Raw genomic sequence first — 20192 nt, forward strand, 5'->3', positions numbered from 1 at the left:
CTCTTTATAAAAAAAAAAGTATCTTAAAACTTCTATGACCTTTGTAAGAATTTAAAGTGAAAAAATTAGGAAAACACCTGACAAAACCAAGACTCATTAAAGTATTATTGCTAAGAATTCCCACATGCTAGAATGCCAGGAGCTGTACCATTCCATTTCAGACACTTGCATATTATATAATTTCATTCTGCTGAGAATATTAATTACATAAATATGCTCTTTATTTTTAAGCAGGGGTAACCTGCCCCTGTCTTTCTAAGTTATATTAGGGAACAAGGATTAGCGTTTTTGCAGGGTGACAGTTTAACGAGCAGTCATAATTCCCTAGAGGGGAAGTAGACTCTGAATTTACCATCAGGTAATACACAGCTGCTGGGAAAAAGGAGCAAAAGGACTACCTAACTCCCCAGGGACAGCTGTCCTACGACATCTCTCAAGCCGCCGGGAGGTGGAGAACATGCTCAAGGGATGGGCTTCTAATGGCTCAAGGACTCCTCTGGAGACCTGAGTCTCAAGTTGCAGAAAAAGACCACATCAAGTCGGACTGAACAAAGCACAGAACCAAAGTACTAGAACACTTAAGAGGCGACAGGAATCTAAGAAACCACTAGCCTTACTCCTTTGTTAAAATATAAAAAACTCAGCCAAAGTCACACCAGAAGTTTATGGACTTCTCCCTCCCCTCTTTGTAACGCCAGTGGTTAGATCCTCGGCTTTGGAGGAAGACCTGAATTGTGGTTTTGTCACTTTTTAGATGACCTTCAGCATATTATTTAATTTCAATTTCCTCATCTATAAAATGTGAGAAGTAGGATAACTACTACATAGTTGTTCTGAGGATAAAACAAAATAATATTTAGACAAGAAACTGTAACAAACTACAAGAAAAAAACATGACATTGGAAATGCCATAGAGGAAAGACTACATGACATTGATCTTAGGAATAATGTTTTGAATATGACCCCAAAAGTGCAGGCAACAAAAGTAAAAGTAGACAAATGGGATTACATCAAAATAAAAAGCTTCTGCACAGCAAAGGAAACAATTAACAGTGTGCACAGACAGCCCACAGATCGCAAGAAAACATCTGCAAGCCATACATTCAAAATATACAAGTTCAAATACCTCAATAGCAAGAAAACAAAAAATTCAATTAAAAAATAGGCAAGGGACTTGAATAGACATTTCTCAAAAGAACACATACAAATGACCACCAGACATGAAAAGAATGCTTAATATTGCAAAGAATTAGGGAAATGCAAATTAAAACCACAATGAGAGATCAACTCACACCTGTCAGAACAGCTATTATCATCAAGTTTTGATGAGGATGTGGAGAAAGGGGAAAACTTGTACACTGCTAATGGAATGTAAATTAGTACAGCCATTATGGAAAGCTGTATGGAGGGTTCTCAAAGAACTAAAAATAGAATTACCGTATGATCCAGCAATCCCACTGCAGGGTGTTTGCCAAAATACCCAAAGTGAGTTACCAAAGATTTGAAATCACTTTGTCAAGGAGATATTTGCATTCCCATGTTCACTGCAGCACTATTCACAATAACCAAGTTATGGAATTAGCCCGTGTCCATCAATAAATGAATGGATATAGAAAACTATTCCACCTTAAAAAAAAGAAGGAAATTCTGTCATTTTTGACAACATGGATGGTGTTAGAGAACATTATGCTAAGTGAAATAAGCCAGGCACAGAAAGACAAATATCACATATTCTCACTTATGAAATCATGTTCACTTGTGAAATCTAAAACAATCAAACTCATAGAAGCAGAGAGTAGACTGATGGTTACAGAGGTTGCGGGATGGGGGAAGTGGGGAGATGATGATTAAAAGGGTACAAAATTTCAGGGAGGAGAAATGTTTTTAATTTCTATTCCACAGTATGGTGAATATAGTTAATAGAGTGTGGTACATTTCACAATTGTTAAAAGTAAATTTCAAAGGTTTTCACCATAAAAAGGTTAAGTATTTGAAATGATAGATATGTTCATTAGCCTGAGTTAATTAGTCTGCATTGTATTCATAAATCATAACATCACTTTGTACCCATAAATTTATGCTGTTATAAATTATCAAATTACAATTTTAAAAATTAAATAAAGTGTTTAGTACAATGCCTGGCATATTTTAAACACTCAAAAATATTTTCTGTAAAAATAGTCCTTGTTAGACCTCCACCTATGAAACCATATCACAGTTGTTGGGTTTTTTTGTCCATTTGTTTATTTTAGTTAAGCTCTCATTTGTTTTTAAGAAAAACTCTAGGTCTTATAACTCCTCATTAAATCTATCCTACAGCTCCTCTTGATGTCCAGTTACTTCATTGATGAGCTCTGCTTTAGAATGCTGATTAACTGCTTTCTAATTTTCCACAATTCCTTGTCTTGATGTTTTCTTTTCCTAAAGGCACCACAACTAAAAGAGAGGTAAAATATCAACACACACACACACACACACACACACACACACACACACACACAAAATTACATCATTCCCTCTTCAAGGATTACAGTATTCCCAATTCCAATAATATGGTCCAGGAAATTCCCATGGTTAAATTTTTTAAGCTGATGGGAACTAAATTAACTAAAGAAACCATGAAAGCCCTAATATTTTTGCACCCACTAAAAATAATCCACTGGAGCACACCATAGTAACTTCTCTAAACTATTAACAGCACAGTATATTATAGATACTACAGTATCTACTGAGCAACAATGTAGCAATGAGTAACACACAGTTAATTTCTACTTCCTATCCCTTGCTTGTTAGAAGACTTCCTTACTTACAAAGATCTTTTTCCTAAGTCTCCTCCATCCATATATTCAATACTTCTCTGATTCTATGATCTAGAGATTTTTGACTTCTAGTTCCAAGATATAAGGAACTCAAGATATTGAGTAACTTGAAAGTTTAAGATGAAAAAGAGTTTAGAGCATCACTATTGGCAATGCTTTATTGGATAATTATTGGATACTGGGGGCTCTTCTGGACATCGTAGGATGTTTAGCAACATCCCTGTCCTAAACACGATGAAATACCTCAGACCCTCTCCAAGTTGTGACAATAAAAATTACTCTAGACATTGCCAAATGTCTCCAGAGAGCCAAAATCATCCCTGATTGAAAACCACTGTTTTAGAATGATTTGAAACTTACAAAGTTTTCCACAGGAACTGAAGTGAAGAACCTGCACCACCTGAGTATTGTAAAATTGCCAATGGTAGTTGAAGAGGGGGATCGGGCAGCTGTGGGACCCCCATCTCTTTTTCTCCAGCAAAAGGAAACTGAAAACACAGGAAACAGGGTGCAAGCACTGGCTACTGCAGGAGCACCCAACACAGCAGAACACATTGACATGAACCCATAGTCTCTACCTCCAAGTATTCCAATCTCTTTCCCCAGAAACACACAGTAGAACAACTCAAATCCACAGGTATGTTTCTTCACCTTCATTTCTCTCCCTGAAGGCTTTAATCTTAACGTGCCTACTCTAAAATCCACTTTCCCTTTATTTTTCTCTTCCCAAGTCCCTATTTCTTCTTTTTAAAATTATGCCCAAAAGAAATGACTTGAAATTCCCACACACCTGAGAAAACAATTCTCATAACTGAAGTACAGACTCACATTATTTAACATGTGCTAGAATGCTGCATAGGCTGGGAGAAGTGACTTTACCATTCAAGGACTTGAACTTTTTAGAATTTCCATTTGTATCATAATTATTTTTTTAATTCAGATGGATTTATAGTCCATATATCCATTCAGACTCAAGGCAATTTGACTGTATAACCTGGACAGATCTCTTAATTTTTTAAATCATCTTAATCATGTGTAAATGTATACAGTGGTGTTAAGTATATTCACATCATCGTGCAACAGATCTCTCAGAACTTTTGCTAAAGTATTAATAGAGCTCTAAATCCATTAAAGAACAACCCCCTCCCAATTTTCCCCTTCCCTTGGCCCCTGGCAACAACTATTCTACTTTTTGTTTCTATGAATTTGACTCTCATATAAGTGGAACTATATAGTATTTGTCTTTTTGCCACTAGCTTATTTTCACTTAGCATAATATCCTCAAGGCTAATTCATGTTGTGTGTCAGACTTTCCTTCCTTTTTAAGGCTGAATAATATTATATAGATATATAGATATCACATATTGATTATCCTTCTGCTGATGAACACTTGGCTTGCTTCCGCCTCTTGGCTATTGTGAATATGCTGCTATGAACACTGGAGTGTAAATATTTCTTCAAGACTCTGCTTTCAATTATTTTGGATCTATACCAGAATTGGGATTGTTGGATCATATGATAACTCTATTTTTAATTTTTTAAGGAACTATCATACTGTTTTCTCTTGCCCAAATCCTTTCATCCTTTGGAATCTGGGCTTCCTTGCCTGCCAAATTATCATTTTCACAAATGAGGTTAAATGAGATGATCTCTAGGAAACATCTTGGCTTGAATAGTACCCCTGGAGAGAACCTCAGCCAACCAGGCCAGTATGCCCCCTTCTCCGTATGATCAAGTCTTTGCAATGGAAAAACTTCTGATCCTTATTCTCCAAAACGATTTTCAATATAGATCTTACATTTGTCTGTCACCAAACTCCCAATTCACTGCTAACATTTCTAGATTGTCTTTAAAGAAAAAAGCAGAGCCAAATGTGTGGATTTGATTGCTTTTTCCCCACCAAGGGGCCTTAGAAGGTGAGCTCACCTGGGGTTACATGGCTTGCAGACTCACCTCCGATATCAAGAGTTCTACCAAAAGGGAGAAACTCAACTGCACAGAGCCTTCTGAGTCAGGAGAAAATAGAAAGTGGCACTTCTTTTGGTGAATATCAAAATGGATACCATTCATCTCACATCATTTCTCTCACTGAACTTATTAGTGATCATATCACCCAACTGTGAAATTCTAAGAAGTAGCCACAGTTTATGAAATACCCAAAACTGACATCTACTTTCACAAATGCAGTAAGATATTTTTCCTGATGAAGTAGAACTGCAATTAGCCCCTGATTTTACCAACAGTGGCTCCAACCCCAAACCCAGAGAGAGAGACTTCTTGCCACTGAAAAGGGCCAAATATCTCTGGTCTTTCGATCCTTGCTGCTCAAAATGTGGCCCTTGGATTAGCAGCAATGGACTCCCCTGGGAGCATATTAGAAACACAAACTTTCAGTTCAAAGCCAGGTTTATAGAAACAGAATCTGCATCTTGACAAGATCCCCTGAGAGTCTCACACACATTCAGGTTTCAGAAGGACTGTTTCAGACCACATAGATAACAGAATTCACAGCAATGTGAGAGGAGAGATCAATAAAACCCTATTTGAAAACTCTACCATAAATGCTACTAAAAAGGCTGATCTCTGTTATTTGTGGGTGGGCTGAATAAATCAATATGCACCCACTGTCTTTTCCACAGTGAGGCACTAAAACCCTTTGTTTTGCAGTTAGACCCAAAATGGGTTTGTTTCCCAGCCTGGTAGATGAATTTGTCTTAGAGGCCAAAAATGACCACCACACAGCTGATCAAAATTCAATCATTACTGTTGTACAGAAGACATATCTGTGGCACAAATTAACTGTCTCAAACACACACAAAACTCATGAGCATCCTAACAAGAAGCTGATGCTCTGTGGTCTTCCACTCATGGCGCCACATCATTCAATGTGATCTGTGTGTCCTGGAATCAACCCCTCAAATCCCTCAATCATCATTCAGCCTCATGTTAGTTTTCAGTGGAGATTATTTTTTATTTATTCATGATTTGCACAGACACTACTTCCAAAAAGGATTTTTTGTGGTTTACAGAGGTAAACACATTGTAAACAAGACAAGCAAAATTAAAGCAGCATTTTAAAATGGGTTACAAGTCTTAGGAGGCAATGTGTATTCCCACTCTCAATGTCTCCTTTCTTACCTTCTCTCTGCCGCCACTGCTCCTCCTCAGGAAGGAAGAAGGGGATTAATGTGACTGATGAATTTGGAATAAACCGGGCATGCTCAGCACAGCTCCTCTTTTTTGCCTCTTGGGAGTAAGTATGCACGCAGGGAGTGAAACTTTAGTCCTGCTCATTCCTGGCATAAGTACCACCGAGACACCACCGCCACCCCCTACTCCACATGGGAGACCCCAGGCAGGCACACTGCTTGGGTCCAGCATTGCCCATGGCTAGATGGCCAAGCCTATTTATTTCTGCTTTTATTAGAAAGTCCACTTGCACAAAGATATGAGCTACATTCTGCAACCTCACTTCTATCGGTTTTTAAAAGTGATATTTTGGCCTCCATGTGCTCCCTTTGTCATATTTCTCAATTAACTCAGAACTCAAGGTGGGGAAAGAGGTGCTATTTACTGAGCCTCTTTAAAATCCCAACAAAAAGAATCAGAAAAACTAATGCTACAGAGTGCTTAGAATAGTTGCTAATACTGGTCAGAAAAAAACAGTTCTGGGCCAGGCGCAGTGGCTCACGCCTATAATCCTAGCATTTTGGGAGGCCGAGGTGGGCAGATCACCTGAGGTCAGGTGTTTGAGACCAGCCTGGCCAACATGGAGAAACCCCATCTCTACTAAAAATACAAAAATTTGCCAGGCATGGTGGCAGGCACTTGTAGTCCCAGATACTCAGGGAGACTGAGACAGGAGAATCGCTTGAACCCGGGAGGTGGAGGTTGCAGTGAGCCAAGATTGCACTACTGAACTCCAGCCTGGGTGGCAGAGCAAGACTCCATCTCAAAAACAAAACAAAACAAAACAGTTCTGTATTTTCTGCGTACTAGGGCAACCGTGTGAACATGACTGGTGTGGTCGATATGACGGGAGTCATTCAGCACTCACTCCACCCTCCTCTCACCTGTCTTCCTCTCCCATATAGCCTGGAAAATCTAAAATCTGCCTTCTCAAAATCACGTTAACTGGAATAGGCCAGGTGACTCCGTTTGGCCAATAGGACATCCTCTAGAGGAAACAGGTACTGCCTCCTCCACTTTTCCCTTCTTCTGTGGGAACAGGTGAGTGATAACTGAGACACAGCAGTTGTCACTAAGAACAGCCCAGGAGGAAGAGCCCAGGGACCTGGCAGCACTCAAGGCTGTACCAGCCCCTGACTGCCCACCCCAGCTGGCTTATAACTCAAGACAAAGAAACCCCTAACTTGTCAAACCACTGGTACACATGGTTATATGGTTCCAGAGAACACTGAACTGAAAGATACATATATGTATCTTTCATTGTATATATCACTATAAATAAAATTGTATAGATATTGATCTGTAGATTGCTCTATACAACATTGCAGAAATACTGATCAAGATTGTTCCATAGGCTAGTCACAGTGGCTCACACTTGTAATCCCATCACTTTAGGAGGCTCAGGGAAGAGGATTGCTGTGGTCAGGAGTTCTAGACCAGCCTGGGCAACATAATGAGACCATGTCTCTACAAAAAAATATATTTAAAAAAATTAATAAAGTTTAAAAAAATATTTTTCCGTACAATATTTCTCATATTCAGAGAAAAAAATCAAAAAGAGCAAAATATATCTATGCATATATTAAAATCATATATGTGTACATAGACATATACACACATATATGTGTATATATGCATGTGTATGTATGCACACATGGAATCCCACCTGGTCTTCAAAATGTTATAGCAAGAGAAACAAATGTAGTAATCCCCAGGCAGAAACAGGCTGGGAGAAGCCAAGGGGTTTGTCTGAAGTCCCATGACCAGTTGTTGGTAGAGTGAAACTAAAATACAATTTTTCTGCCCTTTTCTGGTGCTCTTTCTAAGGCATGGGGCCAATTCTAGCCCTTCTCTGTCATGTGAAGCCAGGGCTGGCAGTTAATAGACATATAATAGACATATATACACATATATAATGTTTATATTACTATAAAATCTTGAAGAAATACAACTCAACTGATTTGAAGCTCACTCTACTTTTAGAAGACTGAAGAAATGTTAAAAAAAAAAAATTAGCTGGGCATGGTGGCGCACCCCTGTAATCCCAGCTACTCGGGAAGCTGAGGCAGGAGAATCGCTTGAACCTGGGAGGTGGAGGTTGCAGTGAGCTCAGATCAGCCCACTGTACTCCAGCCTGGGTGAAAGAGTGAGACTCCGTCTCAAAAAATAAAATAAAATTTGCAAAATGAAGAAGAACAGGAAGAGGATAAAGAAGAGGAAGAAGAAGAGGAAGAAGGAGGAGGAGGAGGAGGAGAAGGAGAGGGAGCAGGAGAAGAAGGACAAGGAGAAGAAGAAGAAAAGAAGAAGAAGAAGAAAATAGGCCAGAATAGACCAGGCGCAGTGGCTCACATCTGTAATCCCAGCACTTTGGGAGGCTGAGGAGGGCAGATCACTTGAGGCTAGGAGTTCAAGAACAGCCTGGGCAACATAGCAAAACCCTATATTTACAAAAATACAAAAATTAGCCACACATGTGCACACTTGTAGTCCCACCTACTCAGGGAGGCTAAGGTGGGAGAAACACCTGAGCCCAGGGAACTTGAGGCTGTAGTGAGCCATAATTACACCACTGCACTCCAGCCTGGGCAACAGAGTGAGACTTTGTCTCAAAAAAAAAAAAAAAAAGAAAAGAAAAGAAAAACAATATGGCCAGGCACAGTATCTCATGCCTATAATCCCATCATTTTGGGAGGCCAAGGTGGGTGGGTCAACTGTGGACAGGAGCTAGAGACCAGCCTGATCAACATGGCAAACCCCATCTCTACTACAAATACAAAACTTAGCCAGGCGTGGTGGCAGGTGCCTGTAATCCCAGCTACTTGGGAGGCTGAGGCAGGAGAATCACTTGAACCAGGGAAGCAGAGGTTGCAGTGAGGCAAGACAGTGCCATTGCGCTCCAGCCTGGGGAAACAGAGCAAGACTCTGTCTCAAAATAAAATAAAATAGAAAATAAAAAATAAAAATAAAAGCAATAATAATTACTTCCAAGTATGTCCTGAGGCCTGTCCTTGTTCACCATACATTCCGCCACAGTCCATGAGGACAAATGTAGACCCACAGTGGTGAAATGGCACACCACAAGCCCCTCAAACTTCAAAGGAGCTTTTACTGTCTTATACTAGGTGCAAATATGCATTACTTAAATGTTCATACATTAAAGAAAGATGATCATCAAATGTTGGCATGGAGAAAGTTCTCATGATAAAACCTTGAGTCCTGAGAAAATTTAATTAAACCGGTTATAACATTACGAAAACACTGATCAAAATGTTCCTGTTCAATGTTTCCCAGGAGTGCTCTCCTATACAATGTTTTAATTTCCCATGCAATGTTTCTTTTCTTTTTTCCAATTTTAGAATAGATACATTTAAGGGTTTTCATACTTGGAAAGAGCAAACTATCTCTCACTCCCCTCTCTGCCCACACCCTAGGATAAGTTTGAATTCTACTTTGACAGAACAGAGCACTGTCCCTTACAGCTTGCAGAACACTCGCACACATGGAATCCCACCTGGTCTTCAAAATGTTACAGCAAGAGAAACAAATGTAGTAATCCCCAGGTGGAAACAGGCTGGGAGAAGCCAAGGGGTTTGTCTGAAGTCCCATGACCAGTTGTTGGTAGAGTGAAACTAAAATACAATTTTTCTGCCTCTTTTCCGGTGCTCTTTCTAAGGCATGGGGCCAATTCTAGCCCTTCTCTGTCATGTGAAGTCAGGGCTGGCAATTAGTGGGACACACTAGGGAGGTGGAAGAGCCAGCACCCACCCTGCTTAACTGATGGCTGAACCATGCCAATCATTATTGATCCTGAATATCACCCAATCAGAGTTGTGGCTTTGTATTCTAGATATGCATCCTTCTCTTCCTTTTCCTACCTAGTTCGGCATTCTTACTCTTTTCCCTGTTGAATTACAAATGTCTTGCCTCCAAAGGATCACATTTTCTCTCTCTCCTTATATGTAAGATATAATTACAAATTATGGTCTACATTGAGGCTAGGAAAAAACTGCATCAACTAACAAGCAAAATAATCAGCTAACATCATAAAGACAGGATCAAAGTCACACATAACAATATTAACTTTAAATGTAAATGGACTAAATGCTCCAATTAAAAGACACAGACTGGCAAATTGGATAAAGAGTCAAGACCCATCAGTGTGCTGTATTCAGGAGACCCATCTCACGTGCAGAGACAGACACACATAGGCTCAAAATAAAAGGATGGAGGAAGATCTACCAAGCAAATGGAAAACAAAAAAAGGCAGGGGTTGCAATCCTAGTCTCTGATAAAACAGACTTTAAACCAGCAAAGATCAAAAGAGACAAAGAAGGCCATTACATAATGGTAAAGGGATCAATTCAACAAGAAGAGCTCACTATCCTAAATATATATGCACCCAATACAGGAGCACCCAGATTCATAAAGGAAGTCCTGAGTGACCTACAAAGAGACTTAGACTCCCACACAATAATAATGGGAGACTTTAACACCCCACTGTCAACATTAGACAGATCAACGAGACAGAAAGTTAATAAGGATACCCAGGAATTGAACTCAGCTCTGCACCAAGCAGACCGAATAGACATCTGCAGAACTCTCCACCCCAAATCAACAGAATATACATTTTTTTCAGCACCACACCACACCTATTCCAAAATTAACCACATAGTTGGAAGTAAAGCACTCCTCAGCAAATGTAAAAGATCAGAAATTATAACAAACTGTCTCTCAGACCACAGTGCAATCAAACTAGAACTCAGGATTAAGAAACTCACTCAAAACTGCTCCACTACATGGAAACAAAACAACCTGCTCCTGAATGACTACTGGGTACATAACTAAATGAAGGCAGAAATAAAGATGTTCTTTGAAACCAACGAGAACAAAGACACAACATACCAGAATCTCTGGGACACATTTAAAGCAGTGTGTAGAGGGAAATTTATAGCACTAAATGCCCACAAGAGAAAGCAGGAAAGATCCAAAATTGACACCCTAACATCACAATTAAAAGAACTAGAGAAGCAAGAGCAAACACATTCAAAAGCTAGCAGAAGGCAAGAAATAACTAAAATCAGAGCAGAACTGAAGGAAATAGAGACACAAAAAACCCTTCAAAAAATTAATGAATCCAGGAGCTGGTTTTTTGAACAGATCAACAATATTGATAGACCGCTAGCAAGACTAATAAAGAAGAAAAGAGAGAAGAATCAAATAGATGCAATAAAAAATGATAAAGGGGATATCACCACCGATCCCACAGAAATACAAACTACCATCAGAGAATACTACAAACACCTCTCCGCAAATAAACTAGAAAATCTAGAAGAAATGGATAAATTCCTGGACACATACACCCTCCCAAGACTAAACCAGGAAGAAGTTGAATCTCTGAATAGACCAATAACAGGAGCTGAAATTGTGGCAATAATCAATAGCCTACCAACCAAAAAGAGTCCAGGACCAGATGGATTCACAGCCAAATTCTACCAGAGGTACAAGGAGGAACTGGTACCATTCCTTCTGAAACTCTTCCAATCAATAGAAAAAGAGGGAATCCTCCCTAACTCATTTTATGAGACCAGCATCATCCTGATACCAAAGCCTGGCAGAGACACAACCAAAAAAGAGAATTTTACACCAATATCCTTGATGAACATTGATGCAAAAATCCTCAATAAAATACTGGCAAACTGAATCCAGCAGCACATCAAAAAGCTTATCCACCGTGATCAAGTGGGCTTCATCCCTGGGATGCAAGGCTGGTTCAATATACGCAAATCAATAAATGTAATCCAGCATATAAACAGAACCAAAGACAAAAACCACATGATTATCTCAATAGATGCAGAAAAGGCCTTTGACAAAATTCAACAATGCTTCATGGTAAAAACTCTCAAAAAATTAGGTATTGATGGGATGTATCTCAAAATAATAAGAGCTATCTCTGACAAACCCACAGCCAATATCATACTGAATGGGCAAAAACTGGAAGCATTCCCTTTGAAAACTGGCACAAGACAGGGATGCCCTCTCTCACCACTCCTATTCAACATAGTGTTGGGAAGTTCTGGCCAGGGCAATCAGGCAGGAGAAGGAAATAAAGGGTATTCAATTAGGAAAAGAGGAAGTCAAATTGTCCCTGTTTGCAGATGACATGATTGTATATTTAGAAAACCCCATCATCTCAGCCCAAAATCTCCTTAAGCTGATAAGTAACTTCAGCAAAGTCTCAGGATACAAAATCAATGTACAAAAATCACAAGCATTCTTATACACCAATAACAGACAAACAGAGAGCCAAATCATGAGTGAACTCCCATACACAATTGCTTCAAAGAGAATAAAATACCTAGGAATCCAACTTACAAGGGACATAAAGGACCTCTTCAAGGAGAACTACAAACCACTGCTCAATGAAATAAAAGAGGACACAAACAAATGGAAGAACGTTCCATGCTCATGGGTAGGAAGAATCAATATCGTGAAAATGGCCATACTGCCCAAGGTAATTTATAGATTCAATGCCATCCCCATCAAGCTACCAATGACTTTCTTCACAGAATTGGAAAAAACTACTTTAAAGTTCATATGGAACCAAAAAAGAGCCCACATTGCCAAGTCAATCCTAAGCCAAAAGAACAAAGCTGGAGGCATCACACTACCTGACTTCAAACTATACTACAAGCCTACAGTAACCAAAACAGCATGGTACTGGTACCAAAACAGAGATATAGATCAATGGAACAGAACAGAGCCCTCAGAAATAACGCTGCATATCTACAACTATCTGATCTTTGACAAACTGGACAAAAACAAGCAATGGGGAAAGGATTCCCTATTTAATAAATGGTGCTGGGAAAACTGGCTAGCCATATGCAGAAAGCTGAAACTGGATCCCTTCCTTACACCTTATACAAAAGTTAATTCAAGATGGATTAAAGACTTATATGTTAGACCTAAAACCATAAAAACCCTAGAAGAAAACCTAGGCATTACCATTCAGGACATAGGCATGGGCAAGGACTTCATGTCTAAAACACCAAAAGCAATGGCAACAAAAGACAAAATTGACAAATGGGATCTAATTAAACTAAAGAGCTTCTGCACAGCAAAAGAAACTACCATCAGAGTGAACAGGTAACCTACAAAATGGGAGAAAATTTTCGCAACCTACTCATCTGACAAAGGGCTAATATCCAGAATCTACAATGAACTCAAACAAATTTACAAGAAAAAAACAAACAACCCCATCAAAAAGTGGGCAAAGGATATGAACAGACACTTCTCAAAAGAAGACATTTATGCAGCCAAAAAACACACGAAAAAATGCTCACCATCACTGGCCATCAGAGAAATGCAAATCAAAACCACAATGAGATACCATCTCACACCAGTTAGAATGGCGATCATTAAAAAGTCAGGAAACAACAGGTGCTGGAGAGGATGTGGAGAAATAGGAACACTTTTACACTGTTGGTGGGACTAGTTCAACCAACCAATGTAAACTAGTTCAACCATTGTGGAAGTCAGTGTGGCGATTCCTCAGGGATCTAGAACTAGAAATACCATTTGACCCAGCCATCCCATTACTGGGTATATACCCAAAGGACTGTAAATCATGCTGCTATAAAGACACATGCACATGTATGTTTATTGTGGCACTATTCACAATAGCAAAGACTTGGAACCAACCCAAATGTCCAACAATGATAGACTGGATTAAGAAAACGTGGCACATATACACCATGGAATACTATGCAGCCATATAAAATGATGAGTTCATGTCCTTTGTAGGGACATGGATGAAGCTGGAAATCATCATTCTCAGTAAACTATCGCAAGAACAAGAAACCAAACACCGCATATTCTCACCCATAGGTGGAAATTGAACAATGAGAACACATGGACACAGAAAGGGGAACATCACACTCTGGGGACTGTTGTGGGGTGGGGGGAGGGGGGAGGGATAGCTTTAGGAGATATACCTAATGCTAAATGACGAGTTAATGGGTGCAGCACACCAGCATGGCACATGTATACATATGTAACTAACCTGCACATTGTGCACATGTACCCTAAAACTTAAAGTATAATAATATTTAAAAAAAGAGAAAAAAAAATTATAGTCTAGTTGCTAACCTTGCTTCTTATTAATACCTACAAAGCTTTCTCTATGCTCCTAGTCAATTCTAAGCCTCTCTCCTTGCAGAAGTTAAGGCATTTAGTGGCTATAAATGCTGCCGTATCTCATCTACGACCACATCTCTTCTACAGTTAAAGCTGCCAGAATGTTAACATAGAACTTTCAAAAGATTAAGATATACAATTACATTCCATTTCAATGGTTTTTACGTTGCTGCAGATATTTGTTTCTGCTCGTAATTACTAACCTACTACCTGATTTTTTTCTTTCCTCTGAGGTTATAATGAGAAGTTAGAAAAACGGACAGGAAGATTAAGGAAGGGGTGGGTGGCAAAAAATGTAATGCAATAGAACAGCTTTATGAAAAATAAGAAAGACATTTTAATTCGTTATTTATTGGGAAAGGTCTCACATCATAATTGGTCAATACTGCTCATGTTCTAAGGATATAATAGTCTCTAATTTGTACAGAGGTAGTCTATCAAACCTACTTTAAACGGTTTAGAGAATAATCTTATTTTGATCATGTTTTGATGACTTTAAGGCAATTCTACATTCTGCATTCTTCTGCGCTGTTGGAAAACTCTGTTGAACGTGGCACATCCTGCGGTTACAGTTGGTTCTCAGGGCTTCTTGCCAAAGAGCCATGCACTGTAGAAGGAAGCTCGAGGGCCCTGGGGTCAGAAAGTCATGGGGTTGAGGCCCTTAGTAAGTCACTTAAACTCTCTGAGACTGTTTCCTCATCTGTAACATAGGGAAAATAATCTCCATCTTATAAGGTCATTGAGAACATTAAGTGAAATAATATATCTAAGATTTCTGATACTCAAACTACTGTAGCTCCTACTGAGATCCATTTAATAGAAAGCAGAATTCTCCCAGGTTTCTTAAAGAATGTGTTCTAACGCATTCATCATTTTTTTTTTTTTTAAAAAAAAAGCAATTTAATCAGTATCTTTAAAAAAGAAAAGAAGGGCCGGGTGCAGTGGCTCACGCCTGTAATCCCAAAACTTTGGGAGGCCAAGGCGGGTGGATCACGAGGTCAGGAGATTGAGACCATCCTGGCTAACATGGTGAAACCCTGTCTCTACTAAAAATACAAAAAATTAGCTGGGCGTGGTGGTGGGCGCCTGTAGTCCCAGCTACTCGGGAGGCTGAGGCAGGAGAATGGCGTCAACCTGGAAGGCGGAGCTTCCAGTGAGCCGAGACCGCTCCACTGCACTCCAGCCTGGGCGACAGAGCGAGACTCGTCTCAAAAAAAAAAAGAAAAGAAAAGAAAAGAAGGAGGAAAGAAAATGAATACCATTTCTATTCTTTTCCTTCCCTTGCACATGTCACTTTCCACCCCTACCTTGCACTGGCGGTATTGCTTTACACTAAAAACACCTCAAATGCTGGGACTGTGTCTCACTTTTGGTCTTCCCAAAACTAGCAGAGTACCTAGCACAGAATATGCATTTCATATGCACTTGCTATTTTTCTTCTGGATGGGCAACCACTACCAGAAAAGTTAAATCTCAGGGCTGTTGTTAGTGGATGTTCTCCCTTTCGATAGGGTTCTGCCTGTAATTTTGACAAAGCAAGTCTGTATTGATGCTACCAAAAGTGGGATGAAAGAGAGATCCAAGTTTTCAAAGTAAATAGAGGCAAAGATCAGCAAGAATATGAAAAACAACTGGGATATTTACACAGAGCCCAGGTATCACTGTACAGATTGATCATTATTTTCAAAATGAGAAATGTATCTTTACAATGGAAAGACCCACCAATCACTCACCCAACCAAATGATTAAACTTAACGTCACTAATGAACAGCAAGGTGCATGTAATATAAAACACCCAGCATTACCTCTGACATAGTCAGACCAAAAATGTTTTGTCTGAATTTGATCAAGCCTCTAGACTGATCTTCTAGTATACAAGAAATATAGGGAATGGAGGAACAAGGTAAGTCACACCATGAGGAAATGATCAGATACATCTAGAATGTGGAACATTAGCCTTGCCCCTTCAAAAAGTCTATGCCATGGAAAAAGAAAAAAGTTGAGGCACAGTTCTGGATTATAGAAGGCTAAAGTGGCTAACAGCCAAATGCAATGCATGAATGAATCTTGATTAGTTCCTCATTTAAAAAATTATTATTAGCCTGGGAAACATGATGAAACTCTATCTCCACAAAAAATTAGCTGGGCACGGTGGCACAGGTCTCTAGTCCCAGCTACTTGAGAGGCTGAGGTGGGAGGATTGCTTGAATCTGGGAGGCAGAAGTTGCAGTGAGCTGAGATTGTGCCACTGCACTCCAGCCTGGGTGAAAGAAAGACCCTGTCTCAATCAATCAATCAGTATAAAAGACTTTCAGAGGACAATTGAGGAAATTTGAATATGGCCTGAATATTTAATGATATTAGGGAATGATTATGAACTTCCTTAGGATGTTGATGTTCCTTCAGTTATGTAAAAGAATACCCTCATTTTTAGAAGATGCTCTGGCAGTGTCTGCAATTACTTTTAGAAGGCTTAGCCTCCCATCTCCCAAAATATATTTCTATACATATATACACTCACACACAGGTTGATAAAGCAAGCATGACAAAATAAACAATCATTGGGTCTGTGTCGTGGGTATACTGGTGCTTATTATACTATTGTTTCAACTTTTCTGTATGTTTAAAATTTTGTCTTAATAAATGTTAGAAAACAGAGAGGCAAGATGGTAAGCAAGCTATTCTTCTCTACCCAGAAAGGAAATTTCTTTCTCTTGCATGTAGTGATAAAAATAAGTTATAAAACTCTTTTTCTGACCCATTGAACCAGTTAGTGGGGATTACTGAGGACTCAAACACCCCTCTATAACAGCTTTTGGGGACAGTAAACATACTGAGGACAAAGCATAGCCCTCTTATATTGGATATCATTTACACCGTCCTTTGAAAATCTTACTATTCCCAAATCAAGAATCCTATCAGCACATTGCTAATAAATTGCTAAATATAGCTAGTATTTGCTTATTTATCATTTTAATTTTTTTAAGAGATGGGGTCTCACTATGTTTCCCAGGCTGGTCTCAAGTCCCTGGGTTCAAGCAATCCTCCTGCCTCAGCCTCCCGAGTAGCTGGGACTACAGGCACACACCACCACACCCAGCTTCCATTTCAGTTTTTTCAGTAAAGTAAAATCCTTTAGCTTGTTTAGGTTGCACTCCAGTACAGAAATAGAAAAACAAAAATCTCATCTGGTATGACAGCCATTGATCCTTCTTATGGGTTCAAATCCATCCCTTAGAAGTTCAGTTTTTAAGAACCAGCTACTACAGGGAGGTGCTAACAACCTCAAATTTCTAGGATGTAAATTTTCATACCCTCTGCAACTGCTGCCTGGCCTCAGATGAGCCCCCTGTACTTAACTCAAGCACCCCTGTCCACTGATGCTGACTTATGCAAGTCAACACACCAAATCCCACAGCCACGGCTTTTCAGAAAAATAGGAATGGATTCTTCTCCCAAGTTCATACAATTGAGGGTTTTTGACAGCAATAAAAATAGCTTTGGATAAACCTTATAACCTGTGGTGTTGCTTCTTCATAAAGGTAAGCCAGTCATTTGACATTATTCAAATTTTTGTTGTTGTTTTTAGATAGTGGTGCAGGTGACGTATAAGAAAAACAGGTATGAATCCCAGCACTTTGGGAGACCAAGGAGGGTGGATCACCTGAGGTCAAGAGTTCAAGACCAGCCTGACAAACATGGTGAAACCCCATCTCTACAAAAATTAGCCAGGCATGATGGGTACCTGTGATCCCAGCTACTCGGGGGCTGAGGCAGAAGAATCACTTGAACCCAGGAGGCGGAGGTTGCAGTGAGCTGAGATCATGCCATTGCACTCCAGCCTGGGTGACAGAGCAAGACTCCATCTTAAAAAGAAAAAAAAAAAAAAGAAAAGAAACACAGGTATGAAGGCAATAAAGCATGATGTATGTAGTCTGGCCACGCCACCATCCCTGCTGCTCTGGACAGAAATCAGAAGCAGCAGCAGATAGAAGCAGAAAATCATCAAAACTTTACACATGAGGTACTGCTATTCCTTCCTCAACAAGTGTATTAGAATATAAACTTGACAAATTGGAGCTTTTCCATAGGTAGGTAGCAACAGAGAGAAGCATCACCCCACAGTTTAAAGTTTATGTTACTTGGGAAAAGACAAACATGAAGTATGAGTCTGAAAATTAGTTTCAAGAACTCTCAACTAATTGATTCTCTCCCAAACTGAAAACACACTACAGCAAGGCTAAAACGTAAAATAAAGTGAACTTTAATCTATAATATACATGAAAATGTGAAAGAACATGTTTCCTTTTGATTTTTGTAAGGAAAGTAAGTTTCAGTGTGAGTGAAACATATCTGAGAGAACAGGAAAGTCTTACCTAGGTACAAGGAGGAGTTTTCTTTCTTGACATTGTCATCTAAGTAGGTTGGTCCCAGGGTATAAATAGGTGTGGAGCCCATTCCAATGAGAATCTGCGCGCAAATGAATAAAGCCACGTAGACCCAGTGATTATTTCCTCCCGAGTCCTTCGGACAGGCCGGAGGCTCCAAAGTGGCGGTGGAGTTGCCACCCTGACACAGGCCGTCGTTGGGGGCCGAGGCGTTCAACTCTTGGATCTGGTAGGGGGGCGAGATGAAGTGAGGTAAGGCGAAGAGGGCTGCCCCGAAGGCGATGAGGAGTCCACCCACGGCCAGCCACAGGGGCCGCCGACCCCGGCCGCCGAAGTAGCTGACGAACACCACCACCACCAGGTTCCCGATGTCAAAGCAGCTGACCAGCAGCCCCGACTCGGAACTCTTCAGACTGTAGCGCCTTTCAATGGTGGTAATTACGCTGCTCAGGTACCCAGAGACCATTAACGCCTGGATGAAGGTCAGAAAGCACATGCACACCAGGAAGCAACGGGAATCCGTGAGGACCACGTAGAGGCACCTTCTCTCCTGGAGCATGGCCAAGGCGGAGGACACCGAGAAGGTTTTGCTGAGGTCCACCCTGTGGTTACAGTCCCCGAGCCCCGCCGAAGTGGACGGGGCAGAGGGACTGGGGGCCAACGGGTTCGGGCCTTGCTTCAACTCCTGGTGGCCCGAAGAATCCACACAGCCAAAGGCCGGGTTGGCGTCTCCACTAGTGGGACTGAGGCTTGGCCGGCAGGAGGCGCTGCTGAGGACCGGTAAACTCTTAGACCTGAGGGTCTCCGGCTCGCACCTCTCTTGGACAGCTTCTGCAGTGGCCGGCGCCTCCAGCTGCTCTCCCGCCCCGGGCTGCAGTCCAGTGCCTTCGTCCATGGCGCTTAGAATTCAGATTTGATAGCTGATGGCACCCAAGCACTCCGGCACGTTTCATCCACCGGCACGAGGGGCCGAAGCCGGGCCCAGTCAGTCTTGCCCACCTGGGACTGGGGCTGGGGGCGCAGGGCCGCGCAGCAGGGCATCCTCACCAGCTGCGAGGCGCCCAGTGCATCCTGATCACAGACACGGCTTCAAGGCTCCGCAGCCGCGTGCCACAGGGGGCAGGGGTCCGCGCGGTACTGCGATGAGCCCTACTCGGCGTCCCTCTCCGGGCGGTAGCTTGAGGCAGGCGCCTCGCGCGTCCCGGGCTCATCCCCTCCGCCGCCGCCGCCGCCGCCGCCGCTGGGCCCGCGGCCAGGAGCGAGTGCACCCTGCGCCGGGGGTGGGGGGGCACTTAGCGCTGCTGTCCGTACAGCATCCCACCTCGCTGCGCCAGGGGTACCGGGTGTTCGCCGCCTGGGCTCGCGGCACCCTCGGGAGTGAAGCTGCCGACCTGCAAAGCAGAAAGAGGGCGGTCAGCGAAGAGCGGCTGCGGCTTGGGGCTAGCGTCCCAGCGCCCCGGGGACCAGGGTTAGGTGACCCCGAACCGTCCCTAGAGGGACGGAGGAGCTAGTCAGGAGCGGAGCCCCGGAGGACTAGGCAGCAGCCGGCTGCAGTCTCCAGTCCCGGAACAATAAGCAGCAGGCGGTCGGCGGAGACTCTCCC

General features: G+C 41.4%; 1 protein-coding gene across 3 annotated transcripts in view, besides 2 other annotated features; it reads right to left on the reverse strand.

The window, feature by feature from the left end:
- Window positions 1–20192, reverse strand: part of SLCO5A1 (solute carrier organic anion transporter family member 5A1) — a 167933-nt gene that overhangs the window by 146144 nt on the left and 1597 nt on the right. For 2 of the 3 annotated variants that reach the window (NM_030958.3, NM_001146009.1), the window contains one exon: window positions 18578–19980. In NM_030958.3, coding sequence (NP_112220.2) covers window positions 18578–19484 — 907 coding nt within the window. In that variant the 5' untranslated portion in view covers window positions 19485–19980. Of the gene's footprint in view, window positions 1–18577; window positions 20167–20192 lie in introns of those variants that run through there. The other variant, NM_001146008.2, reaches the window with a different exon arrangement.
- Window positions 19765–19854: a silencer, noted in NCBI's record as "silent region_19264". NCBI's record gives its function as "represses an Ori minimal core promoter by ATAC-STARR-seq in GM12878 lymphoblastoid cells {active_cell/tissue: GM12878}" and the evidence as "EXISTENCE:reporter gene assay evidence [ECO:0000049][PMID:35858748]".
- Window positions 20045–20114: an enhancer, noted in NCBI's record as "active region_27500". NCBI's record gives its function as "activates an Ori minimal core promoter by ATAC-STARR-seq in GM12878 lymphoblastoid cells {active_cell/tissue: GM12878}" and the evidence as "EXISTENCE:reporter gene assay evidence [ECO:0000049][PMID:35858748]".

The sequence above is a fragment of the Homo sapiens genome, chromosome 8, assembly GCF_000001405.40.
Source record: "Homo sapiens chromosome 8, GRCh38.p14 Primary Assembly".
NCBI lineage: Eukaryota > Metazoa > Chordata > Mammalia > Primates > Hominidae > Homo > Homo sapiens.